Here is a 16278-nt window from a genome sequence, read left to right as displayed (position 1 = left end):
CAGGCTGGAGTGCAATGGCATGATATCGGCTTACTGCAACCTCCACCTCCCAGGTTCATGAGATTCTCCTGCCTCAGTCTCCTGAGTAGCTGGGATTACAGGCACTGCCACCATGCCTGGCTAATTTTTTGTATTTTTAGTACAGACTGGGTTTTGCCATGTTGGGCAGGCTGGTCTCAAACTCTTGACCTCAGGTGACCCACCCACTTTGGCCTCCTAAAGTGCTGGGATTACAGGTGTGAGCCACCGTGCCCAGCCTGCTATTTTTCTATCGTTCTTTCCAAATATTTTCAATGGCCGTTAGTTGAATTCATTGATGTAGAACCCATGGATACAGCAGGCCAACTGTGTTAGTAATATCCCTCAATTTGTCAACAACCAATGAAAAGCACTCTAAATCATTTTTCTTTAAAAAAATTATTTGATTTTTCTCCTAAAGTCCTCAACTCTTTGAACAACTGTTCTTGCAGAAAGGCTAATAGTCCTAAACAAGATTACTTTCTCTGAACATATTTCCTTTTCTGTAGCGATCAATATTGTGATAAATGCTGAATCTGGTAATATCAACATACATTATAATCTTTTAGCACAGCTATATTGTTATCATATAACGAATACAATTCTTGTTAACTAAGATAACAATATCCACACTTGATTCTGCCTTTAAGTGCAAAGCCCACTTTTCTTGTTTTCACAGAATGGGTATGCAGTGATAATAAAAAATAAAGTTGCAATATGGAGATATACATGTTATTTGAAGAGCTGTCAAGTTATAACTATGTCACTGTGATTTGTGAATTGAATAGCAGTGAAAAGTAATGAGAGTACCAGATAAGGTCTTTGTTTCACGTACTCAACTCGGCAGCCATAGAGAATACATAAACCAATGAGTACTGCTTAGTTAAATAAAACTTTATCTCCGGACACTGAAATTTGAATTTTATATAATTTTCATTTTGTCATTCCTTGTCAGAATGAAAAAATGTACCATAATTACACAGAAATATTCAAGTTAGATTGAAAACCTAGAGACTGGTCATCAGTTAGTTTAAAAGAATCATAGCGTGTGTGAACATGTCTTAAAGGATACTGAGTCTGACTCAGTAAATTTTTTAGAAAATAAATCAACGGGCTGGGCCTGGTGGCTCACGTCGGTAATCCCAGCAATTTGGGAGGCTGAGGTGAGTGGATCATCTGAGGTCAGGAGTTCGACACCGGCCTGACCAACATGGTGAAACTCCATCTCTACTAAAAACACAAGAATTAGTGTTGGGTGCCTGTAATCCCACCTACTTGGGAGGCTGAGACAGGAGAATTGCTTGAACCTGGGAGGTGGAGGTTACAGTGGGCCAAGATCACGCCACTGCACTCCAGCCTGGGCGACAGAGCGAGACTCCATCTCAAAAATAAATAAATAAATAAATAAATAAATAAATAAATGGTCTGAAGTGTTAAATGACTCATGCAAGACACATAGTAACAGTAGAGCTAGAAATCTTGTTTTAAAATTTTCTATGTAGTGTATTTCTCTAATTACAACATGGACTTTATATATACAGTAATGAATACACATTTTTGTTTGTTTGCTTTATAATACTTGTCACTCTTTTGGAAAAAAATTTATATTAAGCATAAAAGTCTCCACAACCAATGTACAGACTAAGTAGCAATAATAATAGTTACAATAATAAGGCAAATACCAATGTACCTGCTATTAATCTTAAGAAAGACAAGTGATGATGGTGGCATACCTAGCTTTTTAAATTTAAAATATGATACTTTCAACACTCCATGATTTTTTGTGATTTTAGTGTAATTACCTTTTCTTTTTAAAAATAGATTCCCTTTCTCGGGTTAAGAAAGTTCCCTTCATTTCTTAGTGTCCTAAAGGATTTTCTGGTACTCCTAATTTTGGTCCTCTGGCCTGAAGCTCAAGTTTTAGGAATTCTTCTCTGCAGCTCATTTTCTGCAACTGTGCTCATGTCTGGGGTCAAGTGACAGGAAGACTGAGAAAGAAAATAAGCACCTATCCTCTTTAGACCACCACTTCTCTATTGGAAACAAAGTTTCCCTTGCCTCAAATTTTAGGTACCTTTTGGACCTTGCTGGTGCCAATATTCCTCGTTTATACCACTACTGTGAGATCACCTGAAGGCTAGGGCATGAGAGAAAAGAAAAAAAAAATAGAGACAAATGGGGAAATTTCCCTCCACGTTCTCTGAGTGTCAGGAAACCTTTCCGAGTCTTCAGGAGAGAACTTGAGGGTTTCTAGAACTCTCTCTGTTGCCACTTCCATGTTTTGGGCTGCCTTGGGCCCCAGCTATGTTCCATGGAGGAGATAGTTTGTAGAGTGCTTCCTCCTTTGACCCAGAATTAGGACTAGCCAGCAGAACTTCTTATATTTCTAGCTCTGCTTAGAGCGAAGTTCGAGACAGGCAACCATATTTATCTTCTTCTATGGAACTTTTTTTTTTTTTTTTTTTTTTTTTTTTTGAGATGGAGTCTCACTCTGTCACCCCAGGCTGGAGTGCAGTGGCGCGATCTAGGCTCACTGCAAGTTCTGCCTCCCAGGTTCACACCATTCTCCTGCCTCAGCCTCCCGAGTAGCTGGGACTACAGGCGCGTGCCACCACGCCTGGCAAATTTTTTGTATTTTTAATACAGACGGGGTTTCACCAAGTTAGCCAGGATGGTCTCAATCTCCTGACCTCATGATCCTCCCACCTCGGCCTCCCAAAGTGCTGGGATTGCAGGTGTGAGCCACTGTGCGCGGCCTATGGAACATTTTTTTAACTAATAGACCTTTTGAAGGTATTGCCCTTCCCTTTAGGGAGCCTTCTTTTGTGTGGAGGTGCTCACTTTGATCTTCCATCTTGCTTGTCTCTAGATTTTATTTATCTCCTGTATTCAGGGGCTTCTGAAATGCCAACCTAGGGAAAATGCCTGCTTTAATGTGCTGCATAGTTCTCTGGAATCAATTTTTCTTTGCTCTTACCTCTGAGGTTATTCCCTATTTTTAAATAAACTCATCCATGACAAAAAGGTAGATTGTTTTAATATTTTATATAGTATTATAAATATTCTCTATGTGGAGTACTTTTTTATACCTCTAGCTCAAAACACTTGCTACAAATGGCAGTTTTGATGGATTTTTAAAAAATAAAATTGATTTGTGGTTTTGATATGATGTGCATATGTTCCAAGGAATGGCTCTAGTGAACCCCTAGTTACATTACCTTGGTGAATTAATGAATCAGCAACTCTATCTCTAATATTTCAATTTATCTCTCTGGAATATTTTTTTCTCAGATTTTTTTAAACATTTGAGATAAAGAGAAGTCAAATTGACTTGATTTTAGGTATTCACTTGATACATGGGTATATTTGCATTAGATTCTAGTTCATCCTCAGTGCTAATTTCAAACAATATGAACTCAATGATACATTTACTGTAATTTAAGTATCAATGATTATGATGAATATGAATTTCTTTGGATTTGTAAAGTCCACCTCTAAATATACTTAAGTGACAACTCTGGTATAAATCGTCTTCTCATTCTGTACCCTTTATCCTTCTGCTGTCTCCTGTCACCTACCTTCAGAAACGTGTCTCTGTTCCTACAAAACATTGAGAAAATGAAGTATTAGAACAAGGTGGTTTCTTCTGGAAAGATTTGCATTTTAACCATGATAAAAGCTTTATGAGTCTATGATAACAAAACTTCAGGTACCAGAGAGGATTTTGAGAGAAAACTCACACGAAAAAATTGGCCTAAGATTGTGGCATAATACAAAATGCATGGCTTTCAGATTTTAAAATTTTGTGTTGATTTATTGAAGGAATTTAGGTGGGAAAAGGTGGTTATTTTCTATGATGCCTGGAGGTTAGCAATACATCCTCATTCCCTAATAAAACCCAGTGATGCTCAGTGTGATTTACAAGAAGAGTATTTGAGGAATAGTGAAATATATAAAGACAGCATTTTTTTCATAATAACTAAGTCAGCAGTGTGACTCCCTATGGCAAACTTTATTTCAAAGTCTCATAAGCCTATTAATTCTTCAGTAAGCGGATTCCACTGGACAGGGTATTAGGTATATCTGGAAGGCTTGAAGGGGTAAGTTCTGAATAAGTTGTAATTTTAGGGTTTTAAATTAGGTTTAACAAAGCCTGTAGGGTATTTGAGTCTAATATTCTCTGCACATTTGAAAATTAATGTTTGTGGCGTAAAAACATCTGGGTTAGAGATTAAGCTTTCTTTGGTGTAAAACATTATTACAACAGTAGATATGTAACTAGAGAGAGAAATTGAAGTTTCTGGGTGTGCTCCAGTTCAGTAGGTAGTTTAGTTATTGCACTAATTCCTCCCGCTTGCATTCTCTTTGTGGAGTACTTGGAATTCCTTGGTATGTGTGGCTTCCTAAGTAATACATCTGATCCTGATGAAAGCCAACCAGACCTATCCTCGGAGGGTGAACTTACTCTTAGATGTTGAAAGTGAAAGTCAACAACCACTCTGCTGTCTGTATTAGAGATATTTATCAGAGCAAATAAATGATATGAATATAGAGCAAACTGAGTGTCTTGGGTATAAAGTAATGATGATCAGGCCTGTGTTAAACATGTCACATAATCATTGTTGACTCAATTTTGCTTGATCTTTGGATGTAGCCAGCCTTGGGATGTAGCCAGCCTTAATCTTGGATGGATCTTGCTGCACGTTTTAGAATGAAGTCTGTGAGTTGCCATGAAATGGGCTTCCATGATTATGATATAGTGGCTCATCGGTTTGTTTGGATTCACTTAAGCTGTGGTGACAGACATGCACTGAGCCAGTGAATGGTGGAAAATATCCTCTAGGGCTCCTCATTAGTCACACTAGAGACTCAAACATCATTTAAAACATATAAGCTTCATATGACTTGATCATCCAGTATGTGAATTTTCTTTCCAAATCAATCAATCGTTCTCTCCCACATGCCTCCATCAAAACAAGTTATCCAGTGTTACAGCTCTTTTAGAATTTGTCTAGCAAGTTCTCTGGTCTTCACTGGAAAACCCATAAAACATTAATAATAAAACTAGTTTTCTAAAGAACAGCTACTCGTTTGCTATCTCTTCTAGTAGACGTAGGGAGTTCAAACTGTTTTCACCATTACTGCTTTTGAATCCACATAGCATTATGTCTAGTGGCATTCTAATCTCTGGTGCTTCGAATGATGCTCAATTAATATGCTACAGTACTTGTGTGGTAAGAGCTTCATGAGATGATGTCTGGGATCTGCTCAGTGCCCAAGTTTCAAGTATAGGACTTAAAACATAGTTGTTACCTGATATCTGCCCTTGGTAAATGCTTCCTATTTCCTTCTCTCATACCTACTTCCTAGTGAAAGGTTGACAAGCAGGAGTTATACATCCAGAATGATCCTTTATTGCTCTTCTTCCTGTATTTACTCTGCAGAGAAACACTGAAGGATAGCATGCACAAAGTTGTGAAGGAAGGTGTGGCAGACAGACCCTAAGGTGAGCTCCCATTATCCTTGCCTTTTAGTATTTATAATGTTGTTTAACCCCCTTCTCCTAAATGTGAACAAGGCCCTTGACTTTCAGCTAATCAGTAGAATAGGGCAAATGAGATGACATGTCAGCCACTTGATTAGGTTATGTTATATTGCAAAGGTAAAGAAATTTTGCATATATAGTTAAGGTCCCCAAACCAGTGGTTTAGAAGTATCAAAAGGGAGGTTATCCGGAGAGATCAGGTGAAAACCCTTGACAAGATGACTGGGCCTTCCCTGAGTGACAAACTCTCCTGCTGACCTTGAAGAAACAAGCAGCTAAGATGTGAACTGCCATGGAGAATGCCAGGTGGCAGGGAACCAAAGGCAGCTTCTAGGAGCTGAGGGCCTCAGTGCTACAATTGCAAGAAATTAAATTCTGCCAACAACCACACGAACTTGGAAGAGTACCCTTAATTTCAAATGAGATTGTAGCCTGGTTGACACATTGATTGCAGCCAGTGAGACTCTCAACAAAGAACCCAGTTATGTTCCCAGACTCCTGACTCACATAAATGGAGTATTTTAAAGTGTTGGGCCAGGCACAGTGGCTCATGCCTGTAATCCCAGCACTTTGGGAGGCTGAGGCAAGAGGATCACTTGAGGTCAGGAGTTCAAGACCAGCCTGGGCAATGTGGTGAAACCCTGTCTCTACAAAAATATTAAAAAATTAGCTGGCCCTTGTGGCATCCGCCTATAATCCCAGGTACCTGGGAGGCCGAGGCAAGAGAATCACTTGAATCCAGGAGGCGGAGGTTGCAGTGAGCTGATATCGCACCACTGCACTCCAGCAATGTAAGACTCCATCTCAAAAAATATATAAATAAATAAAATGTATATAAAATAAACAAGTAATGTATTTTAAAATGTTAAATTTATGGTAATTTGTTATACAATAATTAAAAGAAATGAATACACAAGTAATATAGGAGATTTGGGATTTTATAATCACAGACCTGTACCCAAGAGAGGTGACTACAAACTTTCTGCTCACATAAAACGTGTGGAGAAGGACTCCCTTCTTAATATTTATACCTGTGAGAGGGGATTTGTAGCCAGATAGGCTCAAATTATGATCTTACCTCTGCCACTTTATAAGCTGAATAATTTGTGGCAAGTTCTTTCACTTGTTTTAACTTGTCTTCTCATTAGACAAAGGGGATAATAGTAGTAATGACTTTGCAGTATTGTGGAGATGAAAGTGAGATATGTCAAGTGCTGAGCCCACAGTTGTTCAAAAACACTACTCTCCTTCCCCATTCTTTATGTTTGCCAGGTGCCTCTCTCTTTTGTATACATATTTAAATTACACGTATACTTTTAGATTCAGCTCATATGGTTTATTGGTCACATTTTCTAGTTCATTAACTAGACTTCAAGCACCTAGCAGATAAGGATATGTCTCATTCTTTTGTGTTCCCAGCATATAGCACAAATGCTGGCATAACACAGGTGTCCCTGTGACACTCCAGCTCAGTTGGATCTCTTCTTTGAACTCAAATGTGTGTGTTTGGGATGGAATGCAGTCGATTTTGTACAGAGGCTTGAGGAGGTGGTGATTGATTTACTAGGGCCGGGTGGGGGGATTGGTTTGACCAGGTATGCCATTTACATAGCCTGGGAAAAGCCTGGCCTTCCCATCTTAGTCTTTTATTATGCAAATGTGCCACTGCCTGGAGCTCTGCCAGGATGCATGCACAGTGTGGTATTACCTGGAGGCCGCCATGACACGGGCACACGTGGTGAAAAGGAGAAGAGAGTGGGAAACGCCATATTGAATGTACTTGGCTTTCAGGTACAGCTGCCAGCATTTACATATAAAAGCTTCTAGTTTGCATATTTATGCCTGACTCTTCAGGCTGCTTTCTGTTAGAGAAGAAATAGTTTGGGGCTGCTTTTTATTAAAGGAAAATTCCACCTAGAACTCTTCTACCCTTTTTAGCTTTTTACTCTTTCTCCACCACTTATTTTACAATACTGCCTTTCCTATTTCTTTAATTTTAATTTTGCTCTTGCTTTCTGAATTTTCATCTGTAGGTCATGTCTCCCAAACAGATTATAAACTCCTTTAGGGTAAAACTTATTTATATCCAATACCTTGTGTGTTTGTCTGCTCTCATGCTGTGAATAAAGACATACCTGAGACTGGGTAATTTATAATGAAAAAGAGGTTTAATGGACTCACAGTTCCACATGGCTAAGGATGTCTCACAATCATGGCAGAAGGCGAATGAGGCTTGTTTTACATGGCACCAGGCAAGAGAGCTTGTGCAGGGGAACTCCCATTTGTAAAACCATCGGATCTCATGACACTTATTCACTACCACAAGAACAGAATGGGGGAAACAACTCCCATAGTTCAACTATCTCCACCTGGCCCCACCCTTGACACATAGGGATTATTACGGTTCAAGGTGAGATTTGGGTGGGACACAGCCAAACTATATCACCTTGCCTAATAGTGAAAATATACGTAGCATTTCTAAAAAAATAAAAGAGGGACTTGAATGGGATATTACAATCGGTCATGGACTTAAATGTTCATCAGTTAAAATAATTTGCACTCTTGTTTACTTAGAGATTAAATACCTTGAAGCGATGATATTTATTATTAAGCAGGTGCATTGCTGCCCAATTTTTAATTTTTATTTTTTGGATACACTGAAGTATAATATCACTTGAGTGTCACTGACCAAAAATTTTATTGTATTATAGTGTGAAATCTAGTTTGGAGATTTTAATGAATAGTTAGCTCTTCAAGAAGTGGTTAAATTGGTTTTTAATTAAATTTCATTTTATTTGTAGTGATTAATTTTAAACTAATTTAGGATTAGATAAATGAGAGTAATCTTGAAATCAAGAAACTGACTTAATTATGAGAAATAGCTATTTCTTACGGTGAAATGAGAAACAAAATATTAATTTCATCTAAGAGGACACTGTTTTAGCTAAGATAAAATTACAAAGAAAGCATTTGGGGAGGAAATTTTGCATTTAAAATAAACTTAGGATAAAGAACATACGTTAACTGAACCACTGATGAAGAAAGCTTGCAGCTTAAGTTTTCTAACTGAAAAGCAGTTACCATTTGTGAACCCTGAAAATCTGAGACAGGTCTCAGTTAATTTAGGAAGTTTATTTTGCCAAGGCTGAGGACACATGCCCATGACACAACTTCAGGAGGTCCTGACGACATGTGCCGAAGGTGATCAGAGCACAGTTTGGTTTTACATTTTAGGGAGACATGAGACATCAAACAACATATGCTAGGCATACATGAGACAATCAACATATGCAAGATGAACATTGGTTTAGTCTGGAAAGGCGGGACAACTCAAAGCAAGGCAGGAAGACTCGAAGTGGGGATGGCCTTCCAGGTCATGGGTAGAGAAGAGACAAATGGTTGCATTCCTTTGAGTTTCTGTTAGCCTCTCCAAAGGATGCAATCAGATATGGATTTAACTCAGTGAGCAGAGGGTGGCTTTGAATAGAAAGGGAGGCAGGTTTGCCCCAGTAGTTCCCACATTGACTTTTCCCTTTAGCTTAGTGATTTGTGAGCCCCAGTTTTCACACCATAAAGTTATCTTCAAAGGGGATAAGATCTGGAGGTTGAAGGAAAGATTCGTCTTCATGATTCATCTCTGATTATTTGTCCAATCTATTTTTACATTTTCTAATTGATGCAGCATTTTAAAGTCTTTAAAAATATTACATTAGTTATTCGTAGACATTGTTAGAAAGGTGTAATAGATGTAATAAAGTTTTCTGTCTGTTAATTTGATATAATTTTTTTCACAAGCTCTGTTGTTTGACTAAACGTCTTTCTTCTCTTGACTTATCAACTATCCCGTGTTCCTGTTCCTTCATCTTTGCCACTGACATGATCTATATATACTACATTTATTTCTTTTCGTCCACTTTATGCACTATATTTCTTCCACTATATTTTACTTTGCAGTCTAAATATAGAAAATTTGTTTTATTTTCACAATAGGTAGATTGAAGATATAAGAATATTTAGTTTCATAGTGTCATAGTATACAGAAAATTCAGCTGCTTATTTTTTTCCAGTAGCAGTACCATGACTGAAGATGCATTAAAATATAAACACACACACATGAACACACAGACATTCACATGCACACATGTACACTAAGTCAAAAGAGAAAAGTTGGCAGGTAGAAAAACAATATGAAATTGAATAGAATTAAGTAATTACATGTCATGACAAAGAATCCCTCTATACTACTCCAATGGTGTTGTTGATAACATACAACGTTGGATATGGATATGAAGTAATATTTCTGAAGAAAACAAAATCTGTACCCATTTTGTGTCCAGTACATTTTAAAATAAATCACTTTCCTATTTTAGTGGCACAGACTGACTCTCCTTAGAGAGAGTTTCAACTTTTTCAATATAATCATATATGCAGTATAAGTCTATATTTGATTATAAAATCCTCTGAAAGTATTTAAAATTTATTAACTTATTTGAAACCTACTACATTCTTGGGGCTTGTAGTATTAGTTCTACTTTGTAGACATAAAAACATAGGCACAGTGTGGCCAAGGACACCTAAAGGAAGAGGGAGTCTGCAGGACTTGAGTTCATGTTTCTCCTATTACATCTTGCTAAAATGGCTCATTGTCTGGGGTATACACCCTGGTTCTTTGTCTCTGTTGAGAAATAATTCAGGACATGGGCACACATGAGGAATGGAATTAGGAGCAGAAAGTTTAATAGACAAAAAAGAAGAGAGAGAGAAAGGGCTTCCTCAGGCTGAGAAGTGGGTCTCCCAAGAGAAGGTCTCTGGTTTGGGTGGAAGGCAATCGATTTTGTACAGATGCTTGAGGAGGTGGTGATTAATTTACATAGGGCCCAGGGGATTGGTTTGACCAGGTGTACCATTTACATATCCTGTGTAAAGACTGGCCTTCCCACACTAGTCTTTGTTATTATTATGCAAATTCGACCTCTACCTGGCAGTCACCATGATGCCTGAACACGTGGTTTTACTTGGTGGGTGCCATAATACTAGCACATGTGGTGACAAGGAAAAGAGAGTGGAAAACACCATTTTGAATATACCTAGCTTCCAGGTACAGCTGCTGACATTTACATATAAAAGCTTCTAGTTTGCATATTTATGCCTGACTCTCCAGGCTGCTTTCTGTTAGAGAAGAAATGATTTGGGGCTGCTTTTTATTAAAGGAAAATTCCACCCAGAACTCTTTTACTCTTTCTAGCTGCCTAAAAGTAATGTTTTAAAAACTCCTGTATTATTGTTATATCTTAATAGCAACTTGTGACTGAAATGTCTTTGAGTCTTTACTTTCTTACTTTTCCTTTTTTTCTTTCACCATTTAATTAGACACTAAATTCTGAACTTTCTTGTCTAACCTCAAAAGAAATGTCCAAACTGCTTTACAAAGTGGATGTTTCATTTTGCATTCATACCAGCAATGTCTGAGAGTTTACCACACTTTATCTGCACAAAAATTTGGTATCATAATGTTTTAGCTGTTAATTTTAGGCATTCTAATGTGTGTATAGTGATATCTTGTGATTTTCATTTTTATTTTTCTCATGACTAATGACATTGATCATCTTTGTATTTATTTTTTGACTTTCACATATCTTCCTTTCTGAAGTGGCTTTTTAATATTTTGCCCATTTAAAAAATATGTATTGTTTTCTTATTATTGAGTTTTGAGAGCTCTTTACATATTCTGGATACAAGTGCTTTGTCAGGTATTGGACATAAATGTATTTTCCTACTAACCTATGGCATGTTTTTCTCTGCTCTTAACAGAGTTGTTCACAGCATAAGATGTTTTAATTTTTTATGATAGTCAATGCATATATTTTTTTTCTTTCATGGATTGTATTTTGATGTTGTACTTAAAAATACTTTGGCCACAAAGATTTTCTCTACATTCTTTGCCTAAAAGTTTTATATTTCTATGAAACTTGTAGATTTATGCCTGTGATCCATTTTGAGCTAATTTTTGTATATACAGTGTGAGGTATACGTTAAGATATTTTTCTTTTTCTTTTCTTGCTTATGAGTGTCAAATTGTTTCAGCACCATTTGTTGAATGATAGGTTATTCTCTCTTTACTGAATTACTTTTGTAACTTTTTAAAAGGTAGTCAGTTTCTGGACCTCTTCAGTTCCATTGATCTATCTGTCTCTCTTTTCACAAATGCCACCTTGTCTTGATTTCTGAAATTTTTTAGTATGTGTTGAAATCAGGTAGTTGTAGTCTTCCTACGGTACTCTTCTTTTTCAGAATTGTTTTTGTATTTTAGTTTCTTTAATTGTCCATATATTTTATAATCACCTTGTATATATCTACAGAGAAATCTACTAGGATATTGGTTGAGATTGTATTGAATCTACAGATCAGTTTGGGAACATTTGACATCTCAACAATATTGAGATTTCTAATCAATGATAATTATATATATTTTCATTTACTTAGATCTTTGATTCTTTTTTCTGTGTTTATGATTTTTAGCTTAGATACTTTAGGATACTGATCTTATAGCCTATGATATTGATAAACATACTCATTCACTTTTGAAGTTTAAAAAATTTCTTTTGAATTTTTGACCTGGACAATCATTTCTTATGTAAAAAAGATGCTTATTGTTTCCTCTTTAATATACATGATTTTATTTCTTTTTCTTACCTTAATGTGCTGATGAGGACTTCCAGTATGATGATGACTAGAAGGGTTGAGGGTAGATATCCTTGCTTTATTTCCAGTCTTAGAAAGAAAACATTTAGTCTTACAGCATTAAATATAATATTTGCAGTTAATTTTAGATTTCCTTTATCAGGTTAAGGAAGTTGCCTTCTATCCCCAGCTGCTAAGACTTTTTCTCATGAATTTTGACTTCTGTAAAAGGCAAAAGATTTATACGATCTGAAGAGAAACCAGAATATTATGTTGACTTTTGTAAAATGCTTTGTCTGTTTTTTGATGATTGGTTTTTCTTTGTTAGTTTGTTAATTACATATTTGATTTACAAATGTTGAACTAGGTTCGTATTCCTAGGATATATCCTATTTGGTTGTGATATTGAAGCAGGAGATATGGGAGGAAAAACAAATTTTCCCTCTTTCCTTTGGTATAAGCAGCTTCCCCCTCGAATCCCAACCCCCTCCGTGAGATTGTACCCTGCTCTGCAAGTTTTTATGAGTTTATGGTTTCCTGTTTTCTGTAACTAGTGTCTGTAAGTCTGTTTTTTATCTGAGTAGCACAGCGGAGGTCATGAGACATGCTTGAGCAAGCTTAGATTGCAGCCATCTGGGCACCTAGTGAAGGACACAAGATAAGGCTGTGTAGGCATCTTGAGCAAACCTAGATAGCAGCCACCTGGCCTGCATAGCAAGAGTCATACGTAAGCCTGAGTTAGGAACCCTTCACAGTTTGATTAACTGCCTTTGTTCTGCTTCTGTAAGCTTGCTTTCCCCACCCTACAAGTTTCGTGCCAGTGGCAAGCCACCCCCCTTCAGTTGCATGAATAAAAGTCAAGCCCTCTCTTCGTTAATTGCTCAGCCTCTGGATATTAATCTGCTGAGCCAGTGGCCACCTAAATAAAATCCTCCTTTTCCACCCATCTGGTCTCTCGTTTCCTGCAACAGTATTTTAACCTCTCTCTATTGCTGAATTCAACTCTATATCTGTTGAGGTTTTTTGCATACATGTTCATGAGCAATATTGGTCTGTAGTTTTATTTCCTAATGATGTCTTTGTCTTATATTGGTATCAGGGCAATCTTGAACCAATGAGTTGGCTAGTGTTCCCTCTCCTGTTTTCTGGAATATATTATGTAGTGTTAGTGTTATTTCCTTCTTACCTTTAAAAACTGTCTGGGCCTGAAATTTTCCTGTGGAAACTTCCTTATTACTAATTCAATTTTATTTCATTTCATAGATATAGAAAAATTCAGGTTACCCATTTCTTCATAAATGTATTTTGGTAGTTTGCAATTTTTAAGGAATGGGTACATTCCTTTTAAGTTGCTGAATTTATCAGCATTGTGTTGTTCACAGTTTTTATTCCTTATTATTCCTTTAATGTCCATGTGGTATGTAGCAATAGTCTCTTTTTTGTTCCTGATAATGGTAATTTGTGTCTTTTTATTTTTATTTTTTTTGGTTACTCTGGCTAGAAGCTTTTTAATTTTATTAGTCTTTTCAAAGAACCAGATCTCTGTTTTCTGTTTTTTATTTCATTGATTTTCCCTCTAATATTTATTATGATTATTATTTCTACTGCTAGTAGTATCATTGCTCTGGCTGCTTGGGTTTAAGTTGTTCTTCTTTTTCTAGTTTGTTAATGTGGAATTTTAGATTGTTTGATACATTTATAATGTTCTAAACATTTAATGTTATAATTATTAAATGTTTAGAATCTTTAATGTTATAAATTTCTAAGTACTTCTCTATCTCCTTCTCACACATTTTGATATGTTATTTTTATTTTTATTTTATTTTACAGTTAAAATACTTTCTTATTTTCCCAGACACTTTATCTTTGACTCATAGGTTATTTAGAAGTTGTTTTCTATTTAAATTTCCAAGTATTTTAGAATGTTTCTGATATCTTTCTGTATTGTTTTCTTGTTTAGTTTCAATATGGTCACTGAACATACCTTTTTGATTTTGATTTCAATTCTTTTATCTTTGTTAAAGTTTGTTTTATTGTCCAGAAGATAATATATCTTGGAGAATATTCCATGTGAGCTTGATGAAAATATGAATTTTCATCTTGTTCTAGACTATGTTGAAATTACAGAAAACAATTATAACAATATTATGAAGCAGAACCCATAAAATAATTTGCAATATACAAGATATAAGAAGTGGGAAACTCTAAAATAGGAGAATGGGCTAATGTCATGGAACAGACCTTATGTTGATAAGATTAGTATGTTTCATTACACAGTATAATATTAATAGTAGAGAAGCATTGGTGTTACAGTCTAGTACTGTTAGCCAACTTTTCATGATTTATATTTTAAATAAATTGTAAGCTCTTCGAGTGGTGGGACAATGTGGCAGAGCCACAGTTGATAGACCTGTTCTACTTCTGGTTTCTGGACCTTGCTATAGAGGTTGAGTCTCACAAGATCGGAGCTGGCATGAGGACATGTATTATTTTAAAGAAATGTAGGACTGTGCAGTGTGAGGCTCATGCAGATACTTCAGCCGGGGGAAGGTCAATCAAGCTTTTCTATAGTTCCTTGGTGAGGAGACCTGGAATGGGAGGAGACATTGGGTCCTGAGGAAGGAACACAGCAAGGATGAGCCATGGTATTAGGGACGTAAATGGGGATGAGATCATGAAGAACCTTGAATGCATGCTAAGAAGTTTTTGGGAAACAAATATCTTGGTATCAACTATTGAGGCTAGATTTTTTTAACCTTTAAACACAGAAATGTCTCTTCAAATAAAGAGATGAATTACTTTCAAAAGTACAGTACTAGTAGCCGTATCAGTGGTGGGGACACGTCTCTCTTCTCATGTTTCCTGCTGAAGGGACTGAACTGGTGCAACATTGTTTTTCTTCCCATCTTTTTACTTACTCTACTCCAGTGTAAAAGGGTGGCTTATCTTTGGTAAGTTTGTGATAAGGTTAAACCAGGAGTGAGTATCCATTAATCATCTGTCCAGTAAATCTTAACCTGAGCAGGTTCTTTTTGTGTGAAGGGCTTTTTTTTTTTTTTTTTTTTTTGCTCACATTAAGCTCTCCACTCTAATTTTGTTTTTATTATTTATTACAGTGATTTTGGCCTCCACCAGATTCCCTTTTTTCTTTTTTTCAGAATTTGGAAAGGGAAAATGTATGCTATTTATTGGCTCTCCTTAGAGACCCCAGAAATAACAACAATGGGCATTTACAGAATGATTCATGTATAAGATTATCATTATTACTATCCCTATTATCCTTAGTGGTTCATGTCTAAGACTATGCTTATTACTGATATAATATAGGTCCTACTCACACTTCTACTGTGCCCAATGTTCCTGTCTTAGTATAACTGTAAATTTATAATTTTGTTTTAATTTTATACCCTATAAAATGTACAATTTTATCAATTAAAATATAAAACAAGTAATCCACTAAATAAACAAAAAAATGTGTTAAGGACCAAGGACTTAAAGATGAATAATGTCTAAATTTTAATAATAATAAAATCTCCATAACGATTAGAACAGAAGACATAGAAATATAGGTTTTAAAGAAATGTGTAGAATTTTCTGTAACATATGTCTACCCAAATTCCGAATCCCACACAAAATTTGGTCACGTAATGACTCACAGATGTCTTTTGTTGGCATTTCCAAGAGGCATGATATCAATTCTATGTAAGCTACTTTCTTGGAATATGAGTTTTATTTATTTTACTGAGAGATGAGATAGCCTGTGAACATTTTTTTCCTGGCTTAAAGTTACATTTTTTCCACATCTTCCTTTTTCAGAGATCCATTAATTTTTCCAGGTTTAGCAGGAAGAAAGCATAAGTTGTGGCTGTGTAAATGGTGTTACTATTTGCTTATCTCCATTTTAACAAGTATGGGAGTAATAAAGAACATATGTAAATATTACTGGGTATGGTGAAATAAAGAACATATGTAAATATTACTGGGTATGGTGAATGTTCCTTGGATCAGTGGTTCTCCAAGTGTGATCACTGCAC

General features: G+C 36.2%; 1 pseudogene, besides 1 other annotated feature; it reads left to right on the top strand.

Annotated features, from left to right (window-relative positions):
• RNU7-65P (RNA, U7 small nuclear 65 pseudogene) lies at nt 5003-5062 on the top strand (annotated as a pseudogene).
• Nucleotides 6860-7772: an enhancer, noted in NCBI's record as "OCT4-NANOG hESC enhancer chr6:49309752-49310664 (GRCh37/hg19 assembly coordinates)". NCBI's record gives its function as "activates a minimal SCP1, AML or CMV promoter by ChIP-STARR-seq in naive H9 embryonic stem cells {active_cell/tissue: H9 hESC(naive)}" and the evidence as "EXISTENCE:reporter gene assay evidence [ECO:0000049][PMID:30033119]".

The sequence above is a fragment of the Homo sapiens genome, chromosome 6, assembly GCF_000001405.40.
Source record: "Homo sapiens chromosome 6, GRCh38.p14 Primary Assembly".
NCBI lineage: Eukaryota > Metazoa > Chordata > Mammalia > Primates > Hominidae > Homo > Homo sapiens.
This window is presented reverse-complemented; position numbering and strand designations above follow the sequence as displayed.